General features: G+C 39.2%; 1 protein-coding gene across 8 annotated transcripts in view; it reads left to right on the top strand.

The window, feature by feature from the left end:
• The window catches only part of DDAH1 (dimethylarginine dimethylaminohydrolase 1), a 259,716-nt gene that overhangs the window by 187,768 nt on the left and 58,746 nt on the right, over positions 1-13,202 (top strand). Inside the window, exon 1 of one of the 8 annotated variants that reach the window (XM_005270710.3) lies at positions 10,493-10,852. The exons of the other annotated variants lie outside the window; for them this stretch is intronic. The gene's annotated coding sequence lies outside the window, so the exon portion shown is untranslated. Of the gene's footprint in view, positions 1-10,492; positions 10,853-13,202 lie in introns of those variants that run through there. 8 annotated transcript variants of the gene reach the window in all.

Below are 13,202 nucleotides of genomic sequence, written 5' to 3'. Positions count from 1 at the left end.
CCCAAATCTCATCTTGTAGTTCCTATAATCCCCACATACGCTGTAGAATGTCTTGGGACAGGTGTGTGGAGTAGAGGATGGTGCAGTTGGGTTTTAAATCAGATTCACTCTAATTGCAGATCAGGCTGTGTTCAGTTCTAACTAGAAGGTAGGAGATCTTGCCAGTTCTCCAATTTGGCCATTACCAAGGGACCCCGGATAAAGCTGATATATGATCCCTATTTGTCATTTGTCTCTTCCTAATTAGCCATAAGGTAGAGAAGAGGTGGGAGGTGGTGATTGACACCCCTAACCACCAGCAAATAGGGTGAGGACACTGAGGCAGGACTGGGCTTGACTTAACATAGAAAGATATGCGACCACATATTTCTTTCTATCTTTTGACTTCAGATATAAAAACGACTAGAATTTATTTTCCTATGATAAGTAGTAAAAAAGATGCTTCTGTTTTTCGTTAGAAGTTGAGGTCTTCTAGAATCGTCAACTTGGATTATGCATTCTTTTGCTCTTATCACTGAATTACATTAGCATAACTGTAACAGAAATTGTTGATATTTTACTAATGGTGAGCCCACTAGCATGGTGGGCTCTAAAATTCCCTCTCTAACACTTTTTGCTTCCATTGTCTTTTAGGGAGCTAATTCCAACTCCCAACTAGAACATGAGTTCCCCTAGGTCAAGGAGTTAATCTTCCTTGTGTCGTATTCATTCATCCTTTGCTCATTTATTCATTCCATAAAACTTGTTAGCATCTCCTGTTTGGTAGGCACTGTGCCAGTCCCCGTACATTACATGGTTATATAGCCATCAACATCAGAGTAGAGACTCTAGCCTCACAGAGCTCACAATCTCTTATAAAGCCCATCATGATGAGAGGATTTCAACTAAGTGAGTAAAGCATTGAGCACAGGGTCTGAGACAGCATCAGCCACTCAACACACATCTGTTCAGTGAATGGATAACTCAGCAGTGCTGGAAGTAGCACAGAGTTGGTATTCTGAGACTTCTGTATGGGATAGTCTAGACTCCCAGACTAAAATTTAATAGTTAGTAAATAATATTTATTGAACATTTACTGAGTAGGTCACCATGCTAAGAGCTTTATAAACATCATTTTATTCATCACAACGCTTTGAGATAAAAACAACTTTTATTTTTATTTTTTCCAGTTTGTTTTTGTTTGTTTGTTTGTTTGTTTTGAGACAGGATCTCACTCTGTTGCCCAGGCTGGAGTGCATTTAATTTTCATTTTTAGTAGAGACAGGGTCTCACTTTATTGTCCAGGCTGATCTCGAACTCCTGGGCTCAAGGTATCCTCCTGCCTCAGCCTCCCAAAGTGCTGGGATTACAGGTGTGAGCCACCACACCTGGCCTAAAAACAACTGTTAATGATCATTTTATGGGTGAGGAAACTGAGGCTCAGAGTGTAATATCTTTCCCAATCAACTAGCAACTATCAGAAAAAGGATTTGAACCAAGTTGTTTAATTTCAAAACCTGTGAATGTAATCATTTTGCTACATAGCCTCTTAGGGGTCGTCTATTTGAATTCCTTTAAGTGAATCCTGGGCCGGTGAACTTTAAACAGACTGTCAGTCAGGATGCCAAATACTCCACACTGAAAGTAGATAGAAATAGCTTCATCAGGAGCACAGTGAAGGTGACACTTTCTCCTTTGTGACATTTTTCAGAGAGCCATTGGTGGTCCTAGAGTATTACTATCTACTAGGATTTACTGGGTGCTACATCCAGATAAGCCAAAGAGGAGATGGCTCTGGGTTGTTATAATGACATTTTCATGATTTTTTCATGTAACATGTCATTTTACACTTTATTAAGTATTCTAATGATTCTGGACAACAGATTTTGAAATGGTACTCAGAAAAATGAGGCAAATTTAGTGTGTTGTTTCCTTTTATGATTCCAATTGCATTTTTTCATGGGTCACTGTGAACAAGGCTTACAATTATTTTTATATAATGACTTTTTCATTCACATTATTTCTGTAATCTCATAGTTTAATGACAATTACTGTCTATTTATATGACTTGTATTTATAAGACTGGTGTTCAAGAGAAAGTTTATTTTTTCTTAACAATAGTAGTAATGGCACATAACTAAGATTGAGGGATCACTTTGTGTCAGGCTTTTCATTAAGGCTGTTTATATGTATTATTTCATTTAATCATCATATCAACCCTATGAGATAGTCACAATTGTGATCTCCAATTTACAGACAAGGAACCAGAAGTTGTAGAAGTTGAGTGATATAGTTTGGATGTTTGTCTCTCCAGATCTCATGTTGAAATTTGACCCCCAGTGTTGGAGGTGAAGCCTAGTGGGAGGTGTTTGGGTCATGGGGGCAGATCTTTCATGAAAGGCTTGGTGCCATCCTCAGAGTAATGAGTGAGTGCTCACTCTATTAGTTCCCCTGGAACTGATTGTTAAAAAGAACTTGGCACCTCCCCAAGTTCCGTTGCTTCCTCTCTCTCACCATGTGATGTCTGCACACAATGACTCCTCTTTCCCTTCTGCCATGAGTGGAAGCAGCCTGAGGCCCTTGTCAGAAGTAGATGCTGGTGCAACGCTTCTTGTACAGCCTGCAGAACTGTGAGCCAAATAAACCTTTTTTCTTTATAAATTACCCAGCCTCCAGTATCCTTTATAGCATCATAGACAGAAAATTGGTACTGAGGAGTGGAGCATTGCAATAAAAATACCTGAAAATGGGGAAGCAGCCTTAGAACTGGATAATGGACAGAGTTTGGAAGAGTTTGGAGGGCTCAAAAGACAAAAAGACAAGGGAAAGTTTGGAACTTCTTAGAGACTGGCTAATTGGTTGTGACCAGACTCCTGATAGAAATAAGGATAGTGAAGCCCAGCTGACAAGGTCTCAAATGAAAGTGAGGAACTTAGTGGGAACTGGAGCAAAGATCACTTTTGTTATGCCTTAACAAATATCTCGGCAGCATTGTGTCCATGTCCTAGGGATTTGTGGAAGGCTGAATTTAATAGTGATGATGATGAAGGTTATCTGGTAGAAGAAATTTCTAAGCAGCAAAGCACTCAAGAAGTGGTGTAGCTGCTTCTAACAGCCTATAATCAGATATGGGAGCAAAGGAATGAGCTTAAGTTGGAATTTATATTTAAAAGGGAAACAGAGCAGAAAATTTTGGAAAGTTCTCAGCCTGCCTATGTAGTAGGAAGGAAAAAGCACTTTTAGATGAAATCCAAGGATGTGGCTGATCTATTGCTTGCTAGAGAGATTAACATGGATAAAAGGGAGCCAGGTGCTAATAGTCAAGACAATGGGAAAAAGGTCCTGAAGGTGTTTCAGAAACCTTCAAGACCACCTTTCCCATCACAGACCCAGAGACCTAGGAGGTCAGAGTGGTTTCAGGGGAATGGCCCAGGGCACCACTGCCCTATACCACCTCAGGACACTACCCCCCAGTCCCTGCTGCTTTTAGCTCCGGCCAGTTATTTCTCCAATTGTCTGTCTGGAGGGTATAAGCCTTAATAAGCCTTGGTAATTTCCATATGGTGTTAAGTCTTCAGGCATGCAGAATGCAAGGGTGATGGAGGCTTGGCAGCTTCCACCTAGATTTCAGAGGATATATCAGAAAGCTTGAGTGCCCAGGCAGAAGCTTGCTGCAGGGTGGAGCCCCCACAGAGAACCTCTACTAGGGCAGTGTGGCAGGGAAATGTAGGGTAAAAGCCCCCTACACAGAGTCCCCACTGGGGTATTGCTTAATGAAGCTGTGGGAATGGGGCTGCCATCCTCAAGATCCCAGAATTATAGACCCACCAGCAGCATGTACCCTCAGCTTGGAAAAGCTGCAGGCATTGGACTCCAACTCATGAGATCAACCATGTGTGCTGCCCAGCAAAGCTGTGGGGACAGCACTGCCTAAGGCCTTAGGAGCCCACCCCTTGCACCGGTGTGCTCTGGATGTGGGACATAGAGTCAAGGATTGTTTGGAGCTTTAAGGTTTAACGTCTGCCCTACTGAGTTTTGGACTTGCATGGGGCTTGTTACCCCATTCTTTTGTCCAATTCCTCCCTTTTGGAATCGGACTGTTAACCCAGTGCCTGTACAAACATTGTATCTTGGAAATAAATAATTTGTCTTTGATGGTACAGGCTCCCAGCTGTAAGTAACTTCCCTTGAGTATCAGATGAGACTTTGGACTTTGGACTTCTGAGTTGATGCTGGAACAAGCTAAAATTTTAGGTGACTGTTGGGATAGAATGATTGCATTTTGCAATATGAAAAGGACATGAGATTTGGGGAACCAGGGAAAGGATTACATACTTTGGATATCATGTTGAAATTTTATTCCCAATGTTAAGAGGTGGGCCTAGTGGGAAGTGTTTGTGTCATGGGGGTAGATCCCTCATGCTTGGTGCCATCCTCCTGGTAATGGGTGAGTTCTCACTCTATTAGTTCCTGCAAGAGCTGCTTGTTAAAAAGAGCCTGGCATCTTCCTTCCCTCTCTCTCCTCCTTCATCTCTCTCACCATGTGATCTCTGCTTATACCTGCTCCCATTGGCTTCCACCATGAGTAGAAGTGATTTGAAGCCCTTCCCAGATGGATATGCTGGCACCATTCTTCTTGTGCAACCTGTGGAACCTTGAGCCAAATACACATCTTTTCTTTATAAATTACCCAGCTTCAGGTATTCCTTTATAACAATGCAAATGCACTAAGGCATGGAGTAATAGCCCAAGGTCACACAACTAGTAAGTAAGTGGTAGATCCTATATTCAAAATGAGGCCTCATTTGTTCCAATATCCATGAGCTCAGCTGCTCTCCTATACCATCTTCCTGCCAGGCCGCTCTAACTGCAGAGTAAACTTGCATCAGATAAGAGGTTATGCCTTGATTAAGGCCTTGTGGTCCAAACTTATGGGTTTTCCAGTGGGCAAAATTATTTGAGGAAAAGATTTCACATTTTCCAACTTTTCTTCTTTTGAAATATGTGTTAAAATGAGGTTGCTTTCTTAAAAGCAAACTGTTAAAGAATACAGTCAGTAAGCTATAATTTAGTATGTATTTTACTAATGCTTTATTTATTTCTAAGATGATCCTGGTCTTCTTCACCAGCCTTCAGTGGATTGTTTTTCTCCAAGCCATTCTGAATCTGTTTTTGATTCAAGTTAGAAAAGCTCCCTGGCTATAGCTATGGTTCTGTGTTTCCAGCTGCTTTACTCTGTGCCAGTGGCTTTGAGTTCTTCAGCAAAGGTACTCTGGCAGACCAAGTCTGTCTTACTCAAAAGCTTAAATAGATATTGCAGAGGAGAAGAGGAAAAGAATCAGCAGTGATTATTACTTGTACTTCTGAGACTCTGTTAATTGTAATGTCATGGTTAAATTTGCTTATTAACCACTTTGATTCAGACTCATCTTCCAAATACAGTCCAGAGACAGACTGCTATACAGTTATAAAAGGTCTCCTTAATTAGCTTCCAAGTTCCATTAGAGTTAAGGTTGTATCAGAGCTTAGCATTTTAAGTAACATGTAAATAAATCCTAAAGAAGTTTTATCACACTCACTGTCTGCTCCCTTTCATGCCAATGTCACCAAGATCATCAAGAATCACTAAATTTGTTCTTAAAGAAGCAATTTCTAGACCTCCCTTCTGTTCATTTGTTAAGGGGAGAAATGTTGTTCCTCATTGTTTAAATGAGAAAAAATTTTCATTTGAGTTATGGGACATTATATAATGTTGTCACAGAGGTGGTCAGGAAAGAAAAGTAACAATGTTTAGGTGTATAGTCTTGAAGCTTTGACTTCCATCATGAAAGATTAACTGCTACAGGAATTTTTCTTTTGCTGTAAGTAATTAGAAAACTGGACCAACTATATGAAACAGCTTTTCAGACAGTGCACACAGGAAGTGTAGGACTGATCCCTGAGGGAAGGGAAACAAATGAATTGAGATTACAATTTTCCCAGCTTATTGTCTGGAGGCAGTTTTCAGGCCACAGAGGTGGAGGAGGGGATGCAGAACAGAACCTACTGGTCTTATCAAATTGAGGGGACAAAAAATCAGTTTGGGAGAACTAAAATGGTAGAATTTGCAGGGCAGAGTACTGGAGATGAGGGGCTGCTCAAATACAGCATTCCAGAGATATGCAGGATTGTTACTTGAGTCTTTGGGTAGGTATGTATTTGTCTGTGCACGCATAAGAGGAACTACCCAAAGCTAGAGAAAGAACCAGCAGAAAATAAACCAGACAATTCCCAGAACTCACGCAGAAATGAGATTATATTCCTAAAAGCCAGAAAGGAGAGACCTCACAATACACAGGGCTTTGAGTAGAGCCTCAGAAGAGCCTTGCCTTAGCAGTGAGGGGAAATCACTACTTAATACCAGAAACTTTACACATCATGATCAAATACAGGAATACCTCAGAGATAGTACAGGTTCCATTCAGATTATTACAATAAAAGCAAATACCACAATAAAGGGAGTCACAATTTTTTTTGCTTCCCAGTCCATATAAAAGTTATGTTTACATTTTAATGTAGTCTATTAATTGTGGAATGGCATCATGTCTTAAAAATATATATGTATCTCAGTTAAAGAATATTTTATGGCTAAAAAATGCTGACAATCACCTGAGCCTTTAGCAAGTCATAATCTTTTTCTTGGGGAGGGTCTCGTCTCAATGTCGATGGCTGCCGACCTATCAGGGTTGTGGTTGTTGAAGGTTGAGGTGACTGTGGCAATTTTAAAAAATAAGACAACAGTGAAGTTTGCTGTGTTGATTGACTCTTCCTTTCATGAAACATTTCTCTGTAAGAAGCAATGCTGTTTGATAGCATTTTACTCACAGTAGATCTTCTTTCAAGATTGTAGTCCTCTCAAACTACCATTGCTCTGTCAATCAACCAAGTTTTTGGACTATTCTAAATATTTTATTATCATTTCAACAATGTTTCACAGCATCTTCACCAGGAGCAGTTTCCATCTTGAGAAACCACTTTCTTTGCCCATCCATAAGAAGCAACTCCTCATCCATTCAAGTTTTATCATGAGATTGCAGCAATTCAGTCATATCTTCAGGCTGCACTTCTAATTCTAGTTCTCTTGCTATTTCTACCACATCTGCAGTTACTTTGTCTACTGAAGTCTTAAACCATTCAAAGTTGGAATCAGGTTCTTCCAAACTTCTGTTAATGTAGATACTTTGACCTCCTCCCATGAATCACAAATGTTCTTAATGACATCTAGAATGATTAATCCTTTCCAAAAGGTTTCCCACTTATTTTGCCCAGATTCATCAGAGGAATCACAGTTTTGGCAGCAATAGCCCTATGAAATGTATTTCTTCAATAATAAGACTTGAAAGTTGAAATTACTCCTTGATTTATGGGTGGCAGAATGAATCTTGTGTCAGCAGGTGTAAAAAAAGCATTAATCCCCTTGAGCATTTCTATCAGAACTCTTGGGTGACCAGGTGCATTGTCAATGAGCAGTAATATTTTGAAAGCAATCTTTTTTTCTGAGCAGTAGGTCTCAACAGTGGGCTTAAAATATTCAGCAAACCATGCTGTAAACAGATGTGCTGTTATGCAAGTTTTGTTGTTCCATTTGTAGAGCACAGTCAGAGTCAATTTAGCATTATTCTTAAGAGCCCAAGGATTTTCAGAATGGTAAATGAGCATTGGCTTTAATTTAAGGTAACCAGCTCCATTAACCTCTAACAAGAGAGTCAGCCTGTGTTTTGAAGCTTTGAAGCCAGGATTAACTTCTCCTTAACAGCTAGAGAAGTCCTAGATGACATTTTCTTCCAATATAAGGCTACTGGATTTAATTTGAAAACTTTTGTTTAGTATAACCATCTTCATCAACCATATTCATAACATACAATGCTGTGTGTTAGCTGTAATAGATCTTCTGAATAACTTCTTGCAGCTTCTACATCAGCACTTATCGCTTCACCTTGTACTTTTATGTTATAAAGATGGCTTCTTTCCTCATAAGCCAGCCTCTGCTACCTTTAAACTTCCAGCCTCTGCTACCTTTAAACTTCTGCAGCTTCCTCACCTCACCTCTTCTCAGATCTCGTAGAATTTAAGAGAGTTGGGGCCTTGCTCTGGATTAGGCTTTGGCTTAAGAGAATATTGGGGCTGGTTTGATCTTCCATCCAGACCACTAAAACTTTCTCCATATCATCAATAAGGCTGTTTTACTTTCTTATTAGTCGTGTGTTCACTAGAGTGGCACTTTTAATTTCCTTCAACAACTCAACTTCCTTTACAATCACAACTTGGCTAACTGGCATGAGAGGCCTAGCTTTTGGCCTGTCTCAGCTTTTAACATACCTTCCTCACTAAGCTTCATAATTTCTAGCTTCTGATTTAAAGTGAGAAATGTACAATTCCTCCTTTCACTTGAACACTTGGAGGCCATGGTAGGATATTAATTGGCCTAATTTCAATATTGCTATGTCTCCAGGAATAGGTAGACCCCCAGGAGAGGGAGTGACGGAAACAAACCAGTCAATGGAGTAGTCAGAACACACACACATTTATTGATTAAGTTTGCTGTCTTATGTGGACGTAGTAAGTTTGAAATACTGCAGGAATTAACAAAAATGTGACACAGAGATATAAGCAAGCACATGCTGTTGGAAGAATGGCATCAATAGACTTGCTTGATGCGGGTTTGCTACAAACCTTCAATTTGTAAAAAAAAAAACAGTATCTGCAAATCACAATAAAGCAAAGTGCAATAAAACAAGGTATGCTTGTAACTGAAAACCAGTAGTGAAGAGATAATCTGAAAAGCAGTCAGAGGAAAAATACTCATTGTATATAAAGGAACAAAGACTAGGATGACAGCGGAATTCCCATTAGAAACAATGCAGGCGTAAAGGCATAAGAATGATATAATGGACTTGGGGACTCTGGGGGAAGGTTGGGAGGGGGGTGAAGGATAAAAGACTACACATTGGGTAACGTGTATACTTCTCGGTGACAGGTGCACCAAAATCTCAGAAATAACCACTGAAGAACTTATCCATATAACCAAAAATCACCTGCTCCCCCAAAACTATTGAAATAAAAGAAACAATGCAGGCTGAAAACATTGTAATGACAATCTTTGTAAGTGCAAAAAAACAAAAAACAAAAAAACACTTGCCAACCTAGAATTCTGTATCCAAAGAATATATCTTTTTTTTTTTTTTTGGATGGAGTTTTGCTCTTGTCACACAGGCTGGAGTGCAGTGATCTCGGCTCACTGCAACCTCCACCTCCCAGGTTCAAGCAGTTCTCCTGTCTCACCCGAGTAGCTGGGATTACAGGCGCCCACCACCACGCCCGGCTAATTTTTGTATTTTTTAGTAGAGATGAGGTTTCACCATATTGGCCAGGCTGGTCCTGAACTCCTGACCTCAGGTAATCCACCTGTCTTGGCCTCCCAAAGTGCTGGGATTACAGGTGTGAGCCACCACGCCCGGCTAGAATATATCTTTCAGGTCTATAGTTTCTTCTCTGAAACCCAGAGTGCCAGATGTGTTTTAAAATTTATAATTTTTCATATTTTGAAAGTAAACGGAGTATGTCAACCATATTTCATAACACACACACATAAGTCTAAGATAGCACCCTTTAATCAACCACATTAATATATGTGCAGCAAAACCTAGGAATGTTCATTCTAGATGATATAAAGTCTAAAACTTTCATATCAAATCAGGTTTTACTACCAAATAAGTTCAGGCACTAAATTAAAAAAGAATACCCTTGGTTTTCAGAACTTTGGGCTTTCAGAATTGTAAATAAGAGACCTTGTGCTAGTCAGTTTTCTACGTTATGCCTGCCTTACCTCTGATCCTTACAAATCCTTACCTTGTTTGTTATCACAAATAATATGTGACTACAGAAGGCAGCATGGATCATGTAACCAGAGGCCAGTGGGAATATGACCATTTCAGCTCTGCCAGTGCCAGGGACCAAGAATCTGAGACTATGTTGGGATGCTTGTACATCCTGGAAGATGCCAGCACAAAATGCTGGGTAAATGCTCATTGTGAATGTCACCTAGGAAGAAAGCAGTGGAAAGGAGGGGATGGACCTGAATTTAACTGAGTTGGAATTTCAAATAATTGAGAAATTACTGGACTTGACTGTGTTTACCCGGATTATCTACTTATAAGAAAATGAAGTTACATTTTTACATAACAGAATTTATAAGTTTTTAAATTATCTACTAAACATTACTTAATGTCATACGGCCTGGTTCATCATCTGTTAAATAGGAAGAATAATACCAACTTCACAAAATTGTATAAGGCTTCAAGGAGAAGATTGAGAAAGAAAAAGAAAACTTCATACACTTAAAAGAAAAATGTAACAGACAATGTTAGGTAAGCTTGGGTTTTTAAACCAATGAGCTCTCTGTTGTTTTGGCAGAATTACTCTGGCTCCAGTGTGTGAGATGAATTTGAGAAGGGACAGCTGTTAGAAGGAGACCAGTTAGGAGGCTTTGCAATCATTCAGGCAACAGGGAATGAGGCCTTTTGTTAGGAAATTGCAGTGTACATGGGTTCAAGATCCTTTCCAGTGGTAGAAACGTGGAAAAGAGTGAGGAACTCAGAAGGAGTCAAAGATGACCTAAGATTCCAAGGTTGGTGATTAAAGAGGACAGTGATGACATTAACTGAGTTGGAAAGTAAGGATGCCAGCAGGTTTGGGAAATAGATAAGTTCAGTTCAGAGTACAGTGAATATAAGGTCAACAAATGCCTTGGAAAAGAAGAGAACAGTGAACAGTAGTATAATGGTGAAGAGTGGTGTGTGGTGTGGCTCTGCAGGCTGACTCTTTCACAAGTTATGTAAGTGTTCCGTGCCTCAGTTTCCTTTCTGTAGAAATGGTAAAGGTAAAAAGCTTTTTGAAATTTGCCTTTGGAAATATTTTTAATTTAGAATTTTAGCTGTGCCTCATTATCTCTACCTGTCACTATAAATTTTCTGTAGAATAGTGGTTCAAATATTACGTAATTCATGGACTTGTTATGAAGCTTAAATATTAGGTCATCCAGGAAGAGAGCATAGTTGGGCACCATTATTGACTATAGCTATTGCAACCATTTAGTGGGAGGCCGATGCTGTGGATGTGATGGAAAGAGCACTGCTCCCTGCCCTGGGAGACAGAAGACACAGCTCTGAAATATAACTAGCTGGTGGCTTTTAACAAGAGGTTCAGTTGGGCCTCAGTTTGTTCATCTGTGAAAACAAGGGACTGGATAATTCTCTATAAGGCCACTTACATCCCTTAATATTATACGGTTCCCTTGAGGTTAAAAACAAAATTTGCTACAGATAAACCATAATGGAAATAATGTATTCACTTGTAATGGAGCAATAGATTAAGTGCTATTTTAGTATCTGTGGGCCTGGCCTAAGACATATTTTTGCATTTAAAGCACATTAGGAAATTTAGAAATGGTAAAGGTAAAAAGCTTTTTGAAATTTGCCTTTTGAAATATTTTTAATTTAGAATTTTAGCTGTGCCTCATTATCTCTACCTGTCACTATAAGTTTTCTGTAGAGTTTCAGATAAATGTACAGTGTCTTCTCTGCCTTTTCCTGTTATACTTGCTTAGTGATGTCACAAAACAGCTGTCTGGATGCTTACTTCATTTGCAAGAATAGAATAGGGCATTTCGTTTGCTAGGATTTCCACTTGTTAAAAAGAATCCCAGAGGGCCAGCCATGGTGGCTCATCCCTATAATCCCAGCACATTGGGAGGCCGAGGTGGATAGATCACTTGAGCTCAGGAATTCTAGACCAGCCTGGGCAACATGGTGAAAACCTGTCTCTACAAAAAATACAAAAATTAGCTGGATGTGGTGGCACATGCTTATGGTCCCAGCTACTAGGGAGGCTGAGGTGGGAAGATCTCTTGAATCCCAGAGGTCAAGGCTGCAGTGTGCTGTGATTGTGCCATTGCACTCCAGCCTGGGTGGCAAAGCAAGACCCTGTCTCAAAAAAACAATAAAAATAAAAATTAAAAATCCCAGGTTCCATAGAGAGGGTACTCCTTTACTATTACTTTTTCTGCCTTCTACAGCAGAGCACAATCCTCTTTCCATTACATTACTAGAGATTTTTATTAATGAAGACATGCTAAGCACATAACCAAAGCTAAGATTTTCGTTTTGGCATATTTAGGGAGAAACTATGAGGAGGAGGAGATACAAAATGGCCTCCTCATAATAGCTTACACCTGCTCTATCACTTTACCTTTAATAGGGGTGATTCCATTCACCCTCATTAACTTCTTTTAGCCCTTTTTGGTTTTCCAAATTTGATACCATTTGTGTTGAACAGAATAGTCTTTTACTTATGTCCTTCATAAAATGGCAATATGCAAAATATGATTGAAATAAGGAATGAAGTCCAATAAGTCACTTATAAAATATTCATGCTGAAAACTTTATTCATATGACATGTTTTATGCTCACGTTATATATACATTTGCCAAGTGTTCAGCTGTCAGAAATTAGAGATCAAATACAAAAATTTTGTTACAGTTTGTACTATATATTTTCCAATTCTTTAGGTGGGCAGCCTTCAAATATTAATGAAGAAGAAGAGAGGTTATCAATTTAGTTGGGAAGCCAAATCTTCAGTCATCAAATGGATTACTCAAAAATTTTACTGAATGTGTGTGTGTGTCTACTTGTATGGGGGTGGGGGGATGAGGGGGAGAAGGAAAGAGAAAGATGTTTTGCTTCCTAAAAGAATCTGTGAAGGAAAATCTGGCAGACATTGTAAATCACTTTGATTTTTACATTTTCCTCATCAATACCAATTGAAAAACACCTAGACCATTAACTTTGAATTGTATGGAAACGTCTAAAAATGTACCTGCCTGCCTAATATCAGAGTACCATGGTCTTCACTCTTGTTTTTCAGTGCCAGGCCACATTTATTCTGTGGCCTTTGGGTTTGGTTAGATGGCAGATGGCTCCTCATTTGATGCCATGAAATGATGAAATCCCAGCCAATATGAAAACTTTAAATGAAATCTGTTAATTTATGCTTGGAGTCTAGAAGACAATTTAAATATATATGTATATATAATTAATAATGTATTAATGATTCTAAAACTTTAAAAGTAGAAACAGCTTTCTATTCATAGTCTTAACATTGGCTTTTCATATCAAAACCATTTTTAG

Source organism: Homo sapiens, chromosome 1, assembly GCF_000001405.40.
Source record: "Homo sapiens chromosome 1, GRCh38.p14 Primary Assembly".
In the NCBI taxonomy this organism is placed as follows: Eukaryota; Metazoa; Chordata; class Mammalia; order Primates; family Hominidae; genus Homo; species Homo sapiens.
Note: the sequence above shows the minus strand (reverse complement) of the source record. Positions and strands in the feature narration are given on the sequence as shown.